General features: G+C 43.2%; 2 protein-coding genes and 1 pseudogene across 21 annotated transcripts in view, besides 5 other annotated features; 2 read left to right on the top strand and 1 right to left on the bottom strand.

Moving 5' to 3' along the window:
* Positions 1-10,948, top strand: part of DIXDC1 (DIX domain containing 1) — a 95,339-nt gene extending 84,391 nt beyond the window's left edge. For all 7 annotated transcript variants that reach the window (XM_017018466.3, XM_024448743.2, XM_017018467.2 and 4 more), the window contains 3 exons: positions 4,986-5,091; positions 6,072-6,180; positions 7,251-10,948. In XM_017018466.3, coding sequence (XP_016873955.1) covers positions 4,986-5,091; positions 6,072-6,180; positions 7,251-7,331 — 296 coding nt within the window. In that variant the 3' untranslated portion in view covers positions 7,332-10,948. The remainder of the gene's footprint in view (positions 1-4,985; positions 5,092-6,071; positions 6,181-7,250) is intronic.
* Positions 4,503-4,692: an enhancer, noted in NCBI's record as "active region_5524". NCBI's record gives its function as "activates an Ori minimal core promoter by ATAC-STARR-seq in GM12878 lymphoblastoid cells {active_cell/tissue: GM12878}" and the evidence as "EXISTENCE:reporter gene assay evidence [ECO:0000049][PMID:35858748]".
* Positions 5,143-5,192: an enhancer, noted in NCBI's record as "active region_5525". NCBI's record gives its function as "activates an Ori minimal core promoter by ATAC-STARR-seq in GM12878 lymphoblastoid cells {active_cell/tissue: GM12878}" and the evidence as "EXISTENCE:reporter gene assay evidence [ECO:0000049][PMID:35858748]".
* Positions 5,213-5,262: an enhancer, noted in NCBI's record as "active region_5526". NCBI's record gives its function as "activates an Ori minimal core promoter by ATAC-STARR-seq in GM12878 lymphoblastoid cells {active_cell/tissue: GM12878}" and the evidence as "EXISTENCE:reporter gene assay evidence [ECO:0000049][PMID:35858748]".
* Positions 12,665-12,854: an enhancer, noted in NCBI's record as "active region_5527". NCBI's record gives its function as "activates an Ori minimal core promoter by ATAC-STARR-seq in GM12878 lymphoblastoid cells {active_cell/tissue: GM12878}" and the evidence as "EXISTENCE:reporter gene assay evidence [ECO:0000049][PMID:35858748]".
* Positions 13,505-13,704: an enhancer, noted in NCBI's record as "active region_5528". NCBI's record gives its function as "activates an Ori minimal core promoter by ATAC-STARR-seq in GM12878 lymphoblastoid cells {active_cell/tissue: GM12878}" and the evidence as "EXISTENCE:reporter gene assay evidence [ECO:0000049][PMID:35858748]".
* DLAT (dihydrolipoamide S-acetyltransferase) overlaps positions 13,703-20,507 on the top strand; it is a 38,997-nt gene continuing 32,192 nt past the window's right edge. For 8 of the 14 annotated variants that reach the window (NR_164072.1, NM_001372031.1, NM_001931.5 and 5 more), the window contains exons 1-4: positions 13,703-14,046; positions 14,493-14,594; positions 16,810-16,934; positions 17,087-17,240. Coding sequence is in view for 13 of the 14 variants with exons in the window: in NM_001372031.1 (NP_001358960.1) it covers positions 13,768-14,046; positions 14,493-14,594; positions 16,810-16,934; positions 17,087-17,240 (660 nt within the window). In the remaining variant the exon portion in view is untranslated. Of the gene's footprint in view, positions 14,047-14,492; positions 14,595-16,809; positions 16,939-17,086; positions 17,241-20,507 lie in introns of all 14 variants that reach the window. The other 6 variants (NM_001372042.1, NM_001372034.1, NM_001372036.1 and 3 more) reach the window with 6 other exon arrangements.
* On the bottom strand, positions 17,957-18,686 carry PPIHP1 (peptidylprolyl isomerase H pseudogene 1; annotated as a pseudogene).

A 20,507-nucleotide genomic window follows, 5' to 3' on the forward strand; every position in this document is an offset into this window, starting at 1 on the left:
AAAAACCAAACACCGCATGTCCTCACTCATAGGTGGGAATTGAACAATGAGAACACATGGACACAGGGCGGGGAACATCACACACTGGAGCCTGTCGTGGAGGGGGGGACGGGGGGAGGGATAGCATTAGGAGAAATACCTAATGTAAATGACAAGTTGATGGGTGCAGCAAACCCACATGGCACATGTATACCTATGTAACAAACCTGCACGTTGTGCACATGCACCCTAGAACTTAAAGTATAGTAAAAAAGGAAAAAGGAAAAGAAAAACCCTCATGAAAATCTTAGGTATAAACTTCATAAAATATGTGCAATGACTATACTGACAAGTATAAAATAAGGATGAAATAAAGATTTAAATAAACGGAGAGATATACTGTTTATGGATTGGAGTACTCAACATTGTTAAGATGGCCTATTCTTCCACAAATGATCTATAGCTTCAATGCAGTTCCAGTGAAAATCCTACCAGGCTTTTGTAGATATAAACAAGCCAATTCTAAAATTTATAGGAAAGAATAAGGGGACTAGAATTAACTGCCCTCCCAACCCAAATGGTGAAAAAGATGAACAGTGCAGTTGGTGGACCATACTGTCTGATATCAAAATTAACTGTAAAGTTAGGGTAATCAAGACAGTGTAGTATTGGTGAATTGGTAGATACATAGATGAGTGGAACAGCATAGAGTTAAAAATAGACACATTTTACCAGTTGATTTTCTACAATAGTGCAAAGACAATTGAATGATAAAGGGATAGGCTTTTCAAAAACGGTGCTAGAAAAGTTAAAGATCTATTTTTTTAAGTGAGTTTGACCTATACTTCATACCATATGCAAAAATCAACTCCAAATGGATAAGCCTAAACTTATAAGCTATAACTATTAATCACCTGTTTTGTGGTACTTTTCAAAATCATGTATTAAATTTGTAGATATACACAAGGATATGTTTCTGAGCCACTTATCCTGCATGAGTTTTTTTGTACGTGTTTTTTATAGTAATGCCATAATACTGTAATAACTATCATTTTGTCATACGGCTTTATGTTGGGTGAGACAAGTTCTCCCTCATTACTCTTATTTTGCTTTTTTACTTGAAAAGTCTATGCAATCCAACTCATTCTTCATTAGTCATCTGAATCGACTTTTCACTAGTATCATCAATGATATTTTTACCAAAGCAGTCTTTGCCTATTAGACCCCTGTGTAGCATTTGACATCATGATTACTCTCTCTTTGACATTCTCCCCAAATGTGTACATAACATTTGTATTAGTCAGCTTGGGCTGCCATTGCAAAATACCTTCAACTCTCTTAAACGACGTAAATTAATTTTCTCACAGTTCTGGAGGCTAGAAGTACAAGATCAGGTTGCCAGCATGGCCAGGTTTTGGTGAGGGCTCCTTGCCTGGCTTGTAGAAGGCACGTTGTCTCTGTGTCCTCACATGGGGGAGAGAAAGCTCTGGTATCTCTTATAAGGACTAGTTCTGTTGGATCAGGGCTCCACCCGTATGACCTCATTTAATCTTAATTACCTCCTTAAAGGCCCTATCTCCAAAACAGTCAAATAGCAGATAAGGGCTTCAACATATGAAGTTGACGGGTCGGGGGGTGGGGGTGGGGTGGGGGGGGGGAACAAATTCAGTCCATAGCAATATTATTTTCATATTTATTTTATTGTATGGTAACTGTTTTGCTATTTCACTCCACTAGACTTTTGAGCTCCTTAAGGGTGGGGATTATATCTAATTTATTTGTGTATCTCTAATACTTGATACATAATAAGGCACCCTATAAACATTTAAAATGAATAATGAGATGACGTAATTCATCTTGTGTTCCCCTGTCTTAGGTAATGGTATTACCATGTATCTGTCTTCCCAGGTTGTAAATCTCAGTCATTGTTTACTTTTCCCTTTTATATACCCTATGTTCAACTATATCCCTAGTACTAAGACTTTGACTTTCTAAAGGTCTTTCAAATTCATCCCTTCTCTGGCTCCAGGGCTACATCTTTCCTATCATCATGTGTCAGATTGTTTTTATTGCCTCTTAACAGGATGTCTTAGTCAGTTGAGTGTTGCCATAAAGGAATACCTGAGGCTAGGTAACTTAGGAGGAAAAGAGGTTTGTTTGGCTCACAATTCGGCTGGCTGGAAAGTTGGGCATCTGGTGAAAGCCTCAATCGGCTTTCACTCACGGCAGAAGGCAAATGGGAGTTGGCATGTGCTGAGATTACATGGAGAGAGGAAGCAAGAGAGTGGAGGGAGGTGCCAGGCTCTTTTTAACAAGCAGTTTTGTGGGAACTAATGGGTGAGTACTCACTCCTCCTCCCCAAGGAGGGCATTAATCTAGTCTTGAGGAATCTGCCTCCATGACCCAAACACTTCCCATTAGGCCCCACCTCCAACATTGGGGATCAACTTTCAACATGAGGTGTTGGGGGACAAACACCCAAACTACTGCACAGGATTTCTGGCTTCCAGTTTGTCCCATCCAATCCATACTTTGCTGCGAGATCAACTTTTCTAAAATGCCAGTCTAATCATATCACTACCTTTTAGTAACTTTCCATAGCTTAAGACTAACATCTTGAACTCTTACCCTGTCAGAGTCTTTTGTGATCTGGCTGCTGCCTACTTAATTACCTCACAACTTCCCAATGTATTCATTATGCTCCAGCCTTACTAATTCACCTACAGTTTTGTAAATATATGATCCCATTTCATGCTTCTGCACCTGTCCTTCCCTCTTCTTGGAATACTCTTTTCAACTTTAGTATCTCGTGATTTTTAAAAGGTGCTTTTAAAAAGGACTCTCCAACCATGGGCCCTTCCTGACCTGTTCCAGGTGGAATTAACCTCGCCATCTTCAGTCTTCCAATACAGCTTGTAGAAATCTGATTTTAGTGTATTGTAATTATTTGTAATTGTATCCATCATCCATACTAAATGATAAACTCTTGGGAGGTTGGAGACCACATATAGTTTATTTTTATATTCTCAAATCGAACACACAGTAGGTAATAAATGTTTGTTGAATGAATGAATAAATTAAATATATAGCTTTAATGTTAAAAGTGAGTATTTTATTTATTCAACAACCACTGTGTGCTGGGCACTGTGCTAGATGCTGGGGCAAAGGAGAATTATGGCATGTAGGTTACAATAATTGGCATTCTTTTTTTTTTTTTGGAGACAGAGTTTCACTTTGTCACCAAGGCTGGAGTGCAGTGGCTCGATCTCGGCTCACTGCAACCTCTGCCTCCCAGGTTCAAGCGATTCTCCTGCCTCAGCCTCCCAGGTAGCTGGGACTACAGGCACATGCCACCACGCCTGGCTAATTTTCTGTATTTTAGTAGAGACGGGGTTTCACCATGTTGCCCAGGCTGGTCTCAAACTCCTGAGCTCAGGCAATCCGCCCACCTCGGCCTCCCAAAGTGCTAGGATTACAGGCATGAGCCACCGCGCCTGGCCAATTAGCATTCTTTGAAGAAAAACTCTGAAAACAGACTGAATGCCATTTGTGTTCAAAGAGGGGACGTTCCTTTGTCTTTTTCCCCTCTATTAATTCATCCTTCATATTCCTTATTTTAAACCCCCTCCCAGAACTACTGTTCTGTGGCTGCCAATATGAATGCCTAGAATAAGTTAAGAGGAAGATCAGTACAGGTGGAATAGCAGGAGATATTTTAGTAACAGTTTAATTATTAATTTTTGATAAAAGGTTCTGATTGGTCATTTCTCCTACGAAAGTCATAATTACAAGGACTTATACTTTTCCAAAAGTACCTTTTTAAAAGGTAGAGACAGTCCAGGTGCAGTGGCCCATGCCTGTAATCCCAACAGTTTGAGAGGCCAAGGTGGGTGGATTACTTGAGGCAGGGAGTTCAAGACCAGCCTGGCCAACATGGCAAAACCTTGTCTCTACTAAAAATACAAAAATTAGCTGGGCGTGGTGGCACACACCTGTTATCCCAGCTACTCGGGAGGCTGAGGCACGAGAATGACTTAAACCTGGGAGGTGGAGGTTGCAGTGAGCTGAGATTGCACCACTGCACTCCAGCCTGGGCGACAGAGCGAGACCCTGTCTTTTTTTTTTTTTTTTTTTTTTTGCGGCAGGGACAGAGTCTCACTCTGTCACCCAGGCTGGAGTGCAGTGTCACGATCTCGGCTCACTGCAACCTCCACCTCCCGGGTTCAAGCAGTTCTTTGCCTCAGCCTCCCCAAGTAACTGGGATTACAGGCATGTGCCACCACGCCCAGCTAATTTTTGTATTTTTAGTAGAGATGGGGTTTCACCATGTTGGCCAGGCTGTTCTTGAACTCCTGACCTCGTGATCCACCCCCCTCGGCCTCCCAAAGTGTTGGGAAATACAGGCGTGAGCCACCGCGCCCGGCGAGACCCTGTCTTAAAAAAAAAAAAAAGTTTATCAACAAACCTGTGTTAAAGACCATGGCATCAACACTATAGATCTTAAGTTGCTAAGGTTCTGTACCTTTTAGACTGGGAGCATAAGCCCCTTGGGATCTGAGTTTCTAAGGTTGCTTTGCTTCTGTGGTTCTTGTTCCTATCGGTTTTTCTTTCTATGAGTCACATGAGTATTCTCTACTACGGACCTCCAAAACCTAAATATTGGCAGAGTCTACAGCTTCTGCTGTGTGTCTACCCTGCCTGGCTGAAATCTTCCCATGCTTCTCTGTCCTTTTTTGATCTTTAACAATGATACCTGTCATATCAGTTGCTGTTCCCCTACTATGAGTGAGGAGTGATGAGTCCTCGCGATCGTGTCCATGTCTGAAGCAAGTCTTGTCCTCGTGGTCCTAGGCAACCATAGCATATGGACATTGTGTTTGGCAAGGGTGTGAGAGCTGTGGGCTGTGACCTCAGGCAGCTTTGTTCTCCCGGGACACTTTGAATAACTGCAGATGGCTGGTTTAGAGCAAATGAATGTTCTAACCACAGTCTCTTTCTGATTGTAGAGTTGCCTCACTCACAGAGCTCTCCAACTGTCAGCAGCACCTGTACTAAAGTGCTCTATTTCACTGACCGGTCACTTACGCCCTTCATGGTCAATATACCAAAGAGGTGAGATTCTGGGATCATTGTATTTCACTGTAAAGAAGGAAAGGAAGGCAGAACCTCATTAGTTACTGCCCACATGAGCAGCTGAAAGGTGTTTGAGAAGCAGTATAGTGAGATCTCACTATAGTGAGATAAGCCAGAGAGACAGATTCTAGTTTCAGCTTTGCCACTATTCAGTGGTATTATAAAGGACAAGTCATGATCTACTACTAGATACAGGTACAATAATAGTACTTCCAATCCTGATAACTATGCAAATATGGCTCTGCATTTGGGAAAATCTTTTTTTTTTTTTTTAAGTGTTCAAAATAGCTCCTGCTGATACAATGGATTGCAGCCTGGCACTCACTCCAGGACTATGACTAATTGATCTTTGTTACTATTCAATGACTGCAGCTAATCCCTATTGAGAAATTATGTCAAAAACCTTCCAGAAAGTTAATGTGCTTCCTTTTAAGGGAAATGGTTTTGAAATAGAAATATTTAAACTCTGCAACCAACTATTGAGAGAGGTTATAGGATTTTTCTTACTTAGTCTGCTTATTTAGTCTGGGTTAGAAGCCAGCTTCCTAAAGATAGAGGGATAAAGATCATGATACTTGATTTGATTCTACCATCCTAGAGAATTGGGATATTGTAGCAAAGAAGAAAATCAAGAGAACTTTGATATATTTATGGTTATTCAACAAATTTTATTTCAGGGACTTTATATCTTATTTCCAGAGAAAAGTGATTTGGCTTCTGAAGCAATAAGTCAATTTTAAATTCTCACATCACCCCATATTTAATACTGTTTTCATTCCCTAGTGATGACTGGTTCTCCAGCCTCTGCTGTTTTAGTCATCTGGGTTATCGGGGCAGTGACCTAACAAGGGGCTATTTCTGCTTATTGACTTTGGCAGGGGGCTGTGTTTAAAGTTAACATCTTATCTTTCCAGCTATTGATCAACAGTCTATTTTAGTGCTCTCTCCTTGTGTTGCAGGTTGGAGGAGGTGACGTTAAAGGATTTTAAAGCAGCTATTGATCGGGAAGGAAATCACCGGTATCACTTCAAAGCACTGGATCCTGAGTTTGGCACTGTCAAAGAGGAGGTAAAGAATCTGTGGGGAGTCTGTATGGTATTATTGGTCCTTTCTGAACCCTGAAGCCTCCTGTTCAAGCACTAGTGTCCAGAAGTACATGAGTTCCCTGACTAGGTCAGAAGAATTTGCCAGAGCCTCAGACCATGGTCTGATTACTCTAGACAAGTGGTCATAGAATAGTCCAAGATGCTGATAGGTTCTTTAGTTGTAGGACTTCATCATTTGACTGAGAACTTGGATATAATTTTTATTTTAAATTATTTTGTTAGGGAAAATAAAGAACCTAAGACAATAAATAATTTTCCATCTGCAGCCAAATCTTAGAAAACTTCTTGCTTCCTATGTAGAGCAAAATAAACACGCATGGATATATGGAACTGTGTATTTCTCATAATGAAATCAAGGAACTTCTAGGGAGTTATGTATGCTTATGCCCAACTCCTTGAGTAAGTATTTTCTTAGCCTACGCGTCTCTTTATAATCCATTTGTCAAAGATAGACTTTTGGGGGAATACAGTTCTGGGTTATATAGTATTACAAGTGGATTCACTGCAGTTACAGAATGAAAAAAGTTATTATAGAGAAAGTAAAATTTTATTTTGTAAACATTTCCTCAGTGAAATGTTTTAGTAACCCTGTTTTATTAGTGGCTTAGGAAATGAGTTGAATGAATTAATGAAAATAACTGCATCTGAGAAATGTGTTAAAATGAGTCTTTTTTCCCCACCCTTTCTTTACATTGCCTGGTAACTAAATTTTCCACTTTCTCATTTTTAAAATACTTAACACTACATCTTTCCTCTAAGAAGCCCAAAGTACTTTGTGATTGGTAATTTATTAATTCTTACAAATCTCTATGAGCAAAGTAGTATCAGGCATTTTTTAAAACCATTTCATAGATGTGGATCTAAGAAAAAAATAAAATATCAGTTGCAGTTCTAGGGACAAGACCAAAAGGACATAGACTCTTAACTCAAGGCTTTCTTCTACATGGTTGAGGTCTTATTTTTATTAGCAGCAATTGTTTAGTGAATCAGATTCCCTGTTTTTTCACTGTGGCTTTTTGTTTTTTTCTCTAGATTTTCCATGATGATGATGCCATCCCTGGATGGGAAGGGAAAATTGTAGCTTGGGTGGAAGAAGACCATGGAGAGAATTAATGCCAAGTATCAGATTGAGGGCTTATGGAACCTGGTCACTCCCTGGCTGCTTCACTCAGGAAAGGGAACTAAAACCAGAATACACTAAGAAGTTTCTAGTTTGTGTGCCAAAACAGAAGCTTCTCCAAGCATGATGGCCACAGGTCAGTCCTCTTTCTGTGCCTGGCATATCTGGTACTTAAAATTCTGTCCAAATGTAGACCATGGGTTCATCTGGAGTTCCTTGTCCGTGGGAACACAGTGTTCTATTCTACTCTGAGGACAACAAACCGAAGGCCTTAAACGATGGGGATGGATGATCCCGCCTCTGTAGGGGCATGGCTGCTATTATCTGGAAATTAGGAATTGGATGCATCATTCCTGTGTGTTACAGTATTATTTTAATTGGCCTCAATGGTTGCAGCAATCAGAGTCCCAGCGTTTGTACTCACAGACAAGGCAAAGGTACCAGCTTTTCTGTTTCTTTGAACCTACTGCAAACCAAGAATAACTCATGAGGTGGTACCAAAGATGAAAGCCCAGACTTCAGTAATCTTTTGAACCAGACGTGGATGGTGCTGAATTGTTGCTTGGATGGAAAAAGGGCTGCCCATGTTGTGCTACACTATGCTAAAACTGTAATTTAGTAAGACCTTGGGCTGCCTCTTCTGTCTTAACTGGTTCTGCAGCTTGTCCTTTTGCCCACATAGGGCCTATTTCATGTACTGTTAGTTTTCTCTGGGGACTCTTTAACTTTAGAGCCATTTCTTTTTCTTCAAACTGATGAACTTTTGTTTGAAAGGCATAAGGAGTGAAAAGCTCCTTGAAAATCCAGGCGGGTATGGAAAGGTGCTGCTACCCATATCTTTTTGACTTTCTTTGTTTCATGACTTTAACTCATGGCATCTCCTTTGTAGTAAAAGGAGACAGACCATTAATTTCAGCATTTCTTTGTGATTTATAAGTACTGAGCATGAAGTACTTGTCTGCCCCTCATTTCAAGGCCAGAGTTATTTTCTATTTATGTATTAGTCTAGGCTGATCTTTTAGGGCACAATAGAAACCATGGGGCGTGGAGCATGAGTTGTGAATGGCAGGGATCATTCTGGGTAAAAAAAACCTAGAATCATTTCTGATGTGCAACATTGTCAAGTGAAGAAGCTAACAGTTCAACTACCGAGATTATTTGATAACCTGGGTTTTCTCATTCATCCATCAAGCACCATCAACCAGTCAGCCATTATTATTTATATATGTATTACCAAAAGCAGTCTATCTGCCTGTGACCTCCAATGTACACTGCCAAACACAAGAGTAGGACACATCTGTTCTGGGTTCTTGACCTATCTGTCTCCAATTCATCTCCCCTTTTCAGCCATTTCAACAAACTACTCTTTGGAGCTCTGAGATGACATCTTGTTGTTTTATATAGATGTATCTTTTAAAAATAGTTCACGTTTGGAGAATTCTTTTGTACTCATTTGCTTTTTGTCTGAGAACCATGTCTATTTTTATAACTGGAGTGTGAGTTCTGTATCTTCTCACATTCTGTATACTGTATCCATTTTCTAGAGAACCCAGTAGCTTTTATACAGTCTCTTCTTACCACCCCTTGTGGTTTCAGAACAAGCTTTATTTTATTACGAGTATATTAATGACAACTAATTCCTGTTCCAATTCTACCTGTTTTAGTTGTGAAGGTAGTTTTGTGTAATCCAGTTGATTGCTCCTCTGGCAGAGAGAAGGAGCTCAAAAGATACTTGATGTCTTTCATGTAAGTTTACCTGGTCTTTTCCTATTGAAGAATTTTTCATCAGAAACGACTGGGAAAGTTTGGGAAAGTCAGCAAAAGAAAGAATGCATTTCGAAAGCAAACAGAAGAAAAAAGTATATTCTCACAGTTTTTCCCCAGGAAGTCTGGAGAAAAAGTCCTCATGTCACCAATTTCTCTGTTGCATGAATTTTAGTGTTTTGCTATAAGACAGCATGAGGGCTATCAGGCCAAAATTCATTATTGTATTTCCAATACAGTTTGTCTTGAATGTCTGTCTCTTAAACCAGTTTTTACTTGTCAGTTTTCTCTCAGCAAACAGTCTTACTATTATGTGGAATTTAACTTTTCAGAGAAAATTTCCAAAGTCCTCTACCTTATTTGGCTTTTATCTGTGTCTTTTGGAAAAGGAGCTGCATGGCCTCAGTGCCTCCATAAAAAGCTTAAGTTGAGTTCATGGGAGAACATTAAGATCGTTTTTTTTCCCTTTTAGCTCGGTAATCTCATGTACCACAGGTAATGACCAAGCATCTCTGCTAGAGGATGTAACTCTCATAACTCCTGTGTAAAATGAGGATCCTGTTGGTGATCCTCATTCCAGTTTCCAAAGCGAGAGGAGCCTTCTGAGCAGAAGTATGCAAGACTGATTCTGTTTGGAACAGTTTCCTATTTGGCTGCATTCTAGGAGGCCTCCTGACTTATTCATAGTATTGTCGCCTGGTGGCATTGGTGTGGGGTAGCTTGTCCTGCTACTTGCTAAAGTTCTCTTTCTTTGAGAAAACTGAGGAACCAGAATGCTTAGAGTTCATAAAATAATCTCTAAACCATGTTAGGTTAAAACAAAATGACCATCTCACAAAAACGAGTTTAGTTGAATGCTCAATTCCTTACAAAATCTTCATTTAAGGCTGAGTGTGGTGGCTCATGCCTGTAATTCCAGCACTTTGGGAGGCCGAGGCAGGAAGACTGCTTGAGCCCAGGAGTTCAAGACCAGCCTGGGCAACGTAGGAAGACTCCGTCTCTACATAGAAATTTTATTATAAAAGTAGCTGGGGATGGTGGCACACACCTGTAGTCCCAGCTACTCAGGAGGTTGAGGTGGGAAGATTGCTTGAGCCCAGGAGTTTGAGGTTGCAGTGAGCTGATCATGCCACTGCACTCTAGCCTAGGCTACAGAGCAGGACCCCATCTCCAAAAAAAAAAAAAAAAAAGTCATTTAAAAACTGAAGAATGTTCTCTTCTTGCTCAGTTCCCTAAATTAGCTGGGGGGATTGGGATACTTTACAATTTTTACATTTTTAAATTTGAAGAATTTGTTTTAAACTTACTTGGTAATGGCACTTCTACTTACTGACCAACTTTTCAGCTCTTTTTGACCAGGATGGTTGCAAATTAGGGAAAATATCTTTATACTATACATCCAATTCAAGAGGACTTTAATTACTTAAAAGCATTTAGGTCATAATTAAAATTATTTTCACTGTTTCCATAAAATAAGCATTATGATTGCACACTCCTTCTACTGTCTGAATTTATGTAAGAGGTATAGCTTGCTTAAAATACATATATATGTAAAGTTATATTTTCTTAGAAACATGGATGTTTACAGCCATTGCTTTCAAAGAGATTATTACTGTGTATTCTCCCTGTTTTACAATATGTTTTCATGAAGACTATGTTACACCAGAGGCTTCTGATTATCAAAGTGATAACCAGTTTTAACTGCCGGTATGTACCAGATTTGTGAACTAATTTAAAAAACCACAAACTATGAATAAAATGGGGTTTGCAAACTAAATATCATTAATGATTTTCACTTGCGTTTACTGATGAGATTAATCAATAAAGCCATTTACATTTAGTGAAAGCAAATTTCCTCAAGTGATCTCCCTGGTAGCATGTTTACTCACTATGTGGAGTGGAGATAAGAATTACTTTATTGCTACAGATATTTTACAATTAGTATTTCTATGTAAGCACATAGGCTATTATCAAGGACAATTTATTTAGCACTTATTTTGAAATTATATGTAAACATGCAAACAAATAAGAACCCAAGAGTATAAACTCTATGACAAAAGTCAGTATGCAAGCATTAAGAACTCTTTCAGAAATGTGTATTTAAAATGACCAGAATTCCCAGATCATTTGAAAGCTGCCTCTTAAATGCCTCTTATCAATTCATCTTAAATGTTTGCTATATTAAATTCTTTATCCCTGAGTGCCTTCATTTGACTTCCAATTACGTATTTTCAACTATTAATTGGCTATCCCATTATGTTAAAATTAAATATGTACATAACTCAAAATCTTTCACTACCAACTAATTTCTGTTTCTCTCAATATCAGTGATATCACCATTCTCTTAAGTATCTCTATTTCAAACCTTTGAGTCTTGAGTCTCCTTTTCCATAATTTCCTTTATCCAGTCTGTTTAGTGGAATTCAAGCTTGTTCTCTCAGGACTGATTTGAGAAACCTAAGCATTCCTAGCCCACCTCTGGGGTAAGCTCGCCATCTCTGGACTGTTTGAGCTATGCATTCCTATAATTTAACTACACTTAAGTCAAAAGTATATTCAAGACACAAACTCGCTATTCTTTGAAAAATGCAAAACAGGGTTTAAGCAAGCATACCTAAGTGCACAACAGATCCGGAAGATCACCTCATACTTTATACCAAAGTCTAATTTAGATCCAGTTATTAAGTTCAAATGCAGCAAAAGCAGCAAGATATTTTAGCCAACTCAAAAACATTTTTATAATAATTTATAAGTCCTGGGCGGGCATGGTGGCTCGCGCCTGTAATCTCAGCACTTTGGGAGGCCGAGGCAGGTGGATCACCTGAAGTCAGGAGTTTGAGACCAGCATGACTAACATGGTGAAACCCCGTATCTACTAAAAACACAAAATTAGCTGGGCATGGTGGCACGTGCCTGTAATCCCAGCACTCGGGAGGCTGAGGCAGGAGAATCGCTTGAACCTGGGAGGTGGAGGTTGCAGTGAGCCGGGATCATGCCACTGCACTCCAGCCTGGGCGACAGAGTGAGACTCCATCCCCAAATAATAGTAATAAGTCCTTTCAGTAATTACAATTATTCTTTCATTGCTTCTTCCAATTGTTAATTCATAAGTTGTACATAATTGTAACAATATAATTGCTCTCTTCATATTATTTAAAATATGCCTTTTCATTCAATCTAGAAATTTTATATTTCTCAATTATATTGCTTACATATTATTCTGATAGACAGCTGTACCTGCTTAAACATTCCAATTTAAGTAGGCATGAAATAGTACATCCAATCTGTTTTAGTTTTCCAAATTAATTGTTAGCAAGATTAGCCCCCATTTTTTTTTTTTTTTAACAGATGGGAGTCTCATTATGTTGCCCAGGCTGGTCTCAAACTCTTGGGCTCAAGTGATTCCCCCACCTCAGCCTCTCAAGCATTGCTGGGACTACAGGCATGCACCACCGCTCCTGGCTAAAATCTTGTTTTAAGTTTCTTCCCTCCAACTTCCTCTTGCGTTCTTGGTGTTCTCTAACCATCTCTACAGGGGGGAGGTGGTGATACACAGCACATGCTTCCTCCTTATCTAATGTCACCTTCAGTTCAGAAACGATATGTTTTCTAATTAAAAGACAACTTTACAAGAGAAGCGTGCCTAACAAAATGTGTAGATGACTTTTTATTCATTGATTCAAAAGACATACATTCAGCCCCCGCTATTTACTGGATATTAAGCTCTGGGGCTACATGGAAGGACCACGCAGACACTCTTCATGCCTTCAACGGCTTACAGTTAAGTTTTTCAAACATTTGAAACATAACGAAGCTTTTGGTTACTTAAAAGAATTCTATGGTATTAGGGAGCAACACCTGTTTTGTAAACCTATATCTTCATACAGGGAATATGCTTAATCTTGCTACAGTATACATGAATGCGGGAATGTATCTTCCTCTGGGCTGCCTTTCGTTACCACTTGGCTGGGTGGAACACCTGTTCACTCCACTTTCCACTTGGGCTACAAACCTGAAACGAAATCTTTGCAACCAGTACAGCCTGCGCGGGGCGCGGCCCAGTCCATCCCCCTTCGGATGCGCAGAAGCAGAGGTCACCACGCCGGACCCCTCGATTCCCTCGCGGGCGATTCCTGGCTCCTTCACCACCCCAGCACTCCAAGACCCCCGCCCTTTGGCCTGAGGCTCCCACTGCCCTAGCCAGTTCCCGGGCTCACTTCCAGCTTTTCCAGAAAGCTTGGCCACGCCCCTCGGCCCAGACTCTCAGGCCACTCGGCCGCAATTAACCCGCGTCTCTGCGCCTTTTTAGGCCCCTCCCCCTCGGTCGTGCCCTTGTCATCTCTTAGGCCCCGTCTCACCCTTTCGGATGCCTCCCCTAGAACCCTACCACTTTCCACCCCTTTCCGTCTGTTATTTCTCCCAAACTTGCGCCCGCACAGGCCCCTCTGGAACACTCCTGCCCCGTAGTGCCCCTCGTCCCCGCTCCGTAGAGAAAGAGCGTGCGTGCCGCGCATTTCTGGCCTGGGGAGCGGGTGGAGTAAACCTGCGGGAACCATTTTACGACAACGTGCGGCTGTGCGGTGTGGCTGACGGCAACGCCGCTGCTCTTGGAGAGGTCACTCCGGAGACGGCGTTGGTTTTGGGGTGTGGGGGGTTGGTGGCACTATGTGGCGCGTCTGTGCGCGACGGGCTCAGAATGTAGCCCCATGGGCGGGACTCGAGGCTCGGTGGACGGCCTTGCAGGAGGTACCCGGAACTCCACGAGTGACCTCGCGATCTGGCCCGGCTCCCGCTCGTCGCAACAGCGTGACTACAGGGTATGGCGGGGTCCGGGCACTGTGCGGCTGGACCCCCAGTTCTGGGGCCACGCCGCGGAACCGCTTACTGCTGCAGCTTTTGGGGTCGCCCGGCCGCCGCTATTACAGTCTTCCCCCGCATCAGAAGGTGAGCCCTAGACCCCCCTTCTCGGGACCCCGTTGTCCTTCAGAGCTGACTGGATGCCTGCAAGATCCTCCTTGAGAGGCCTCACTGATCCTCCACCCATTCCCAGTATCTGCTTTGGCCCTTTGTCCAATAGTTGGCTTTGCTGTAGCTCCTTAGTGTCCCTCTCATGATCTATTTCATTGAAAGGAGAGCTTCAAGACTGGGGCTGTATGCAGAATATCTGCCGAGGTTCATGCTTTGTCAGACCCACAGGACTGTGGAGGAGAAAGCCTGTCACTGGAAATTACTAACTTCTCATGGACAGGAACTCCCTTGGCATCCCTAGTTCCCAATGTGCAATGGAACTGTATACACTTTGCATGAAATTGAATTGAATGAAATCTTAAGCCAGACTGAGAGTTAGGTAGTCCTTAAAAATTTTAATGTTTCTTCTTTTCCTTTTCCAGGTTCCATTGCCTTCTCTTTCCCCCACAATGCAGGCAGGCACCATAGCCCGTTGGGAAAAAAAAGAGGGGGACAAAATCAATGAAGGTGACCTAATTGCAGAGGTAAGTTTTTTTTTTTTTTTTTAATTAATTTATTTATTTTTTTTATTGATCATTCTTGGGTGTTTCTCGCAGAGGGGGATTTGGCAGGGTCATAGGACAATAGTGGAGGGAAGGTCAGCAGATAAACAAGTGAACAAAGGTCTCTGGTTTTCCTAGGCAGAGGATCCTGCGGCCTTCCGCAGTGTTTGTGTCCCTGGGTACTTGAGATTAGGGAGTGGTGATGACTCTTAAGGAGCATGCTGCCTTCAAGCATCTGTTTAACAAAGCACATCTTGCACTGCCCTTAATCCATTTAACCCTGAGTGGACACAGCACATGTTTCAGAGAGCACAGGGTTGGGGGTAAGGTCACAGATCAACAGGATAAGAATTTTTCTTAGTACCGAGCAAAATGAAAAGTCTCCCATGTCTACCTCTTTCTACACAGACACGGCAACCATCCGATTTCTCAATCTTTTCCCCACCTTTCCCCCCTTTCTATTCCACAAAACCGCCATTGTCATCATGGCCCGTTCTCAATGAGCTGTTGGGTACACCTCCCAGACAGGGTGGTGGCCGGGCAGAGGGGCTCCTCACTTCCCAGTAGGGGCGGCTGGGCAGAGGCGCCCCTCACCTCCCGGGCGGGGCAGCTGGCCAGGCGGGGGCTGACCCCCCCACTTCCCTCCCGGACGGGGCGGCTGGCTGGGCGGGGGGCTGGCCCCACCACCTCCCTCCCAGACGGGGCGGCTGGCCTGGCGGGGGCTGACCCCCACCTCCCTCCCGGACGGGGTGGCTGCCGGGCGGAGACGCTCCTCACTTCCCAGACGGGGTGGCTGCCGGGCGGAGGGGCTCCTCACTTCTCAGACGGGGTGGCTGCCGGGCGGAGGGGCTCCTCACTTCTCAGACGGGGCGGTTGCCAGGCGGAGGGTCTCTTCACTTCTCAGACGGGGCGGCCGGGAAGAGACGCTCCTCACCTCCCGGACGGGGTCGCGGCCGGGTAGAGGCGCTCCTCACATCCCAGACGGGGCGGCGGGGCAGAGGCGCTCCCCACATCTCAGACGATGGGCGGCCGGGCAGAGGCGCTCCTCACTTCCTAGATGGGATGGCAGCCGGGCAGAGACGCTCCTCACTTTCCAGACTGGGCAGCCAGGCAGTGGGGCTCCTCACGTCCCAGACGATGGGCGGCCAGGCAGAGACGCTCCTCACTTCCCAGACGGGGTGGCAGCCGGGCAGAGGCTGCAATCTCGGCACTTTGGGAGGCCAAGGCAGGCGGCTGGGAGGTGGAGGTTGTAGCGAGCCGAGATCACGCCACTGCACTCCAGCCTGGGCACCATTGAGCACTGAGTGAACCAGACTCCGTCTGCAATCCCGGCACCTCGGGAGGCCAAGGCTGGCGGATCACTCGCGGTTAGGAGCTGGAGACCAGCCCGGCCAACACAGCGAAACCCCGTCTCCACCAAAAAAATACGAAAACCAGTCAGGCGTGGCGGCGCGTGCCTGCAATCGCAGGCACTCAGCAGGCTGAGGCAGGAGAATCAGGCAGGGAGGTTGCAGTGAGCCGAGAAGGCAGCAGTACAGTCCAGCTTCGGCTCAGCATCAGAGGGAGACCGTGGAAAGAGAGGGAGAGGGAGACCGTGGGGAGAGGGAGAGGGAGACGGAGAGGGAGAGGGAGAGGGTAAGTTGTTTTAAAGTAACGGAGATGAGTTCGAAGAGACTGGCTTTGCCTAATTGACTGAACATTGACTTTCTGGATGTGTAGCTACCCCTTTGTTTAAGAAACTGAAGTGTTTTTCACAACTTGATGTTAGACAAGATTGGTTGGATAAGTTGTCAGCAGCTGGCCAAACTGATTTTAACCAAGGCGTTTCTAAAGTAATTTCTTCTTTGAAATCTGTCGTAGTGGCCTTATCTTCACATGAACTGTATAATTCTAGACACAAAGGCCAGGCTGGCCAACATGGTGAAACCCCGTCTCTGCTAAAAATACAAAAATCAGCCGGGCATGGCAGCCTGTTCCTGTAATCCCAGCTACTCGGGAGGCTGAGGCAGGATAATCGCTTGAACCTGGGAGGGGGAGGTTGCAATGAGCCGAGATTGCACCACTGCACTCCAGCCTTGGTGACAGAATGAGACTCTGTGTCTCAAAAAAAAAAAAAAAAAAAAAAAAATTCTAGACACAAGCTAATAAATTACATACCAACAGTACAAACCTGAGCTACTGCTTTTTGTGTTAAAAGGTTGAAACTGATAAAGCCACTGTTGGATTTGAGAGCCTGGAGGAGTGTTATATGGCAAAGATACTTGTTGCTGAAGGTACCAGGGATGTTCCCATCGGAGCGATCATCTGTATCACAGTTGGCAAGTGAGTAGTGCGCTCATAATTTGTGGAACTTCATTGCTTGGTGGAGTATTTTACCCAGAATTGAGAATTAGGAGTTAAAGACTATTTTTTAAGACTACTTTTGTGAAAGCTGAATCTGCCCATTATATTTATGCATTCTTTCTCTTCCTTAGGCCTGAGGATATTGAGGCCTTTAAAAATTATACACTGGATTCCTCAGCAGCACCTACCCCACAAGCGGCCCCAGCACCAACCCCTGCTGCCACTGCTTCGCCACCTACACCTTCTGCTCAGGCTCCTGGTAGCTCATATCCCCCTCACATGCAGGTGAGGCTCAGCCTCTGAGTTTTTGCTCTAGGTGATTACTTACTTACTCACTTTTTTTCATAGATGGCTACTACATCTTGGAAACTGACATTAAATGTGGTTAGGTCTTGTCATTTGGGAGTATATAGGTTTAAACATGAAGATTGACAACTATTCTTCCTGGTTGTTATTTCCAGTTATAAGAACTTGAACAGTTCCTGTAACCTTTCTCAGCCTCAGTGTAGTACACAGGGTAATGCGTGGCACTTTTCATTCAAGAACATTACATTACAGATTTTGAGGATGATTTTTACTAACATCTATTCCCTGTATAATTAGAGTTTATAGCAGGCTGTGTTAGTCTGTTTTACTTTGGCATGAAGAAATACCTAGGGCTGGGTAATTTATAAAGAAAAAAGGTTCATTTGGCTCAAGGTTCTGCAGGCTGTACAAGAAGCAGGGCGCCAGCATCTGTTTCTCTTGTGGCCACAGGAAGCTTACAATCATGGTGGAAGTTGGAAGGGAAAGGGGAAGGGTGGTGTGTCCCATGAGAGAGGGAACAAGAGACAGAGGGGAGTGGGTAACCAGGCTCTTTATAGCAATCAGATTTCCCCTTAACTCATTACCATGGGGCATGCAGCAAGCCATTCACGAGGGATCCTCCTCCAATACCCAGACACCTGCCACCAGACCCCATCTCTAACATTGGGGATCATATTTCTTTTTTTTTTTTTCCACATACAAAAAAACTTTATTTACACAGTCTTGGATTCTGAATCTCCAGTACTTCCAGGGTCTCTTGATCAAATGGGGCAGCAGCAGGCAGGGAAGCAAACACAGGGGCCAGTCCAGATTATCTTACTCAAGAACACCACCAAGAAGGGAAGGCCTAATTCAGTCTTGGTCTGGACTACATCTCCCCGCACTTTGAGATCACCACAGTAGTTTGGGCTTATTGTTGGGGCCTGTGGGAACATTCTGAATCTTTCTCATCACTAGAAGTCCATCAGTGATTTTTCCAAACATTACATGCTTCCCATCCAGCCAATCACACTTAGAGCAGGTGATAAAGAACTGACAGCCATTTGTACTGGGACCGCTGTTTGCCGTGGAAAGCAGGCCTGGAGCTGAGTGTCTAAGTTTAAAATTTTCGTCTGCGAATGTCTCCTGGTAAATACTGGCGACTCCAGTACCATCTCCATTAACAAAATCTCCACCCTAAATCATGAAATCCTTTATGACCCTGTGGAAAGTGCTTCCTTTGTATCCTATTGGAACCCCATCTTTTCTGAATTCTCTAGTGCAGAACTACCCAAAGTTCTCGGTCGTCTTAGGCACAACGTCTGCAGAGAGCTCGATCTTTGTGCGGCCAACTTCCTGACTGCCATTGCTGACATCAAAGAACACCATGGGGTTAGCAGGGCTTGAAGTTGCCACCACCATGGCTCTGACCCGGAAACGGAAGTCGGGGGATCATATTTCAGCATGAGATTTGGAGGGGACAGACATCCAAGCTGTATCATAGGTGTCAAGTGCTGTCTGTTGAATGAAAGTCCCCAGTTGGTGTTCTTTTGACATGTGGTGATCTATTTTCCAAGAGTGGGTGAAGTAGTCCAATAGTATTAATAAATGAGAAAACTGACAAAAGTTAAGTGTAAGATACACATATGTAATAGTGTTGCATCAAAGTTGAAGGCAGTGAATGTAATCACTGTTGATTGTGCTAACTAAATCAGTTTCTAAGAAACTAAGTCAGTTTATTAGGTATTAGGGTTATCGTCTGTATATTTGTGTGCTTTAGATGTTAAAAGTGGATAAAAATCCAGCCGTCCTTTTCTAAATAATTCTGACTGGCATTTCTCCTTAATCTAGTTTATTTGTAGAAATTTTTGTATAGGAATCTTTTTCTCCTTTGGAAATAATGTTCTACTCCATGGTCTGTTAGTAACAATCATTTAGGATTTTTTGCCAGGTGTTCAGTTCACACATGTATTACATGCTGTTCGGCAAATTCTATCTCATGATGTAAGACTGACTTAATTTTCCTCTACTTTGTGTCTGTAGCTTTGTGTGCATGTGTTAGGGTTTTACCTTAATTATTCTTTAAGATACTGAATTGGATTCTGAATCTCTGATAGTATTCTTTAAGATACTGTATAGAGATTATTGGCTTCACTGTTTCTTAAGAAGCAGATGAAGATGGCAAATTCTGCACAAAAAAAGCACTTACAATTTTTTTTCTAAGGCTTGTCTTACTTTCCCCTCTCTGGAAACATCTTCAATTGAAGTTATTTTCCTCTCCGCATAATCCTGTTGCTAATCAGATACAGAAGACAAAGAGGATAGCAAATGAAACCAAATTCAGTGGATACACAAGCCATATAAATAGTAAAGCAATTTTACATTTAGATAGGCATTCTGATGTTTGGATATTATTGGGGTGGAAATGGCTATTATAAAAACAGGGCTTTTTTTACCCCTGGTTTTTTATTTTTATTTATTTATTTTTTGAAACAGGGTCTCACTCCATCACCTAGGCTGGAGTGCAGTGGCATGATTTCGGCTCACTGCAACCTCTGCCTCCTGGGTTCAAGCGATTCTCCTGCCTCAGCCTCCCGACTAGCTGGGAATACATGCACATACCACCACACCTAGCTATTTTATTTTTTGAGATAGGGTCTCACTCTTCACCTAGGCTGGAGTGCAGTGGTGCAATCTTAGCTCACTGTAGCCTTGACCTCCTGGCTCAAGCCATCCTCCCACCTCAGCCTCCCAAGACGCTGTGACTACAGGCACGTGCCACCATGCCCAGCTAATTTTTTTTTTTTTTTTTTTTTAAGAGATGAGGTTACATCATGTTGCTCAGGCTGGTCGTGAACTCCTGGGCTCAAGTGATCCTCCTGCATCAGCCTACCAAAATGCTGAGATTATAGGCATGAGCCACCATGCTGGTCTTTCCTGTTTTTTTTTTTTTTTTTTTTTTTTTTTTTTGAGACAGTCTTGCTCTGTCACCATGGCTGGAGTGTAGTGGCACGATCTTGGCTCACGGCAACCTCTGCGATTCTCATGCCTCAGCCTCCTGAGTAGCTGGGACTACAGGTGGGTGTCACCATGCCCAGCTAATTTTGGTATTTTTAGCAGAGGAGGGGGTTTCGACATGATGGCCCGGCTGGTCTTGAACTCCTGGCCTCAAGTGATCCGCCCCTCCCAAGTGATCCTTGGCCTCCCAAAGTGCTGGGATTACAGATGTGAACAGCTGTGCCTGGCCTCCTGTTTTATTTTTTTGAA

Source organism: Homo sapiens, chromosome 11 (assembly GCF_000001405.40).
Source record: "Homo sapiens chromosome 11, GRCh38.p14 Primary Assembly".
Lineage (NCBI taxonomy): Eukaryota > Metazoa > Chordata > Mammalia > Primates > Hominidae > Homo > Homo sapiens.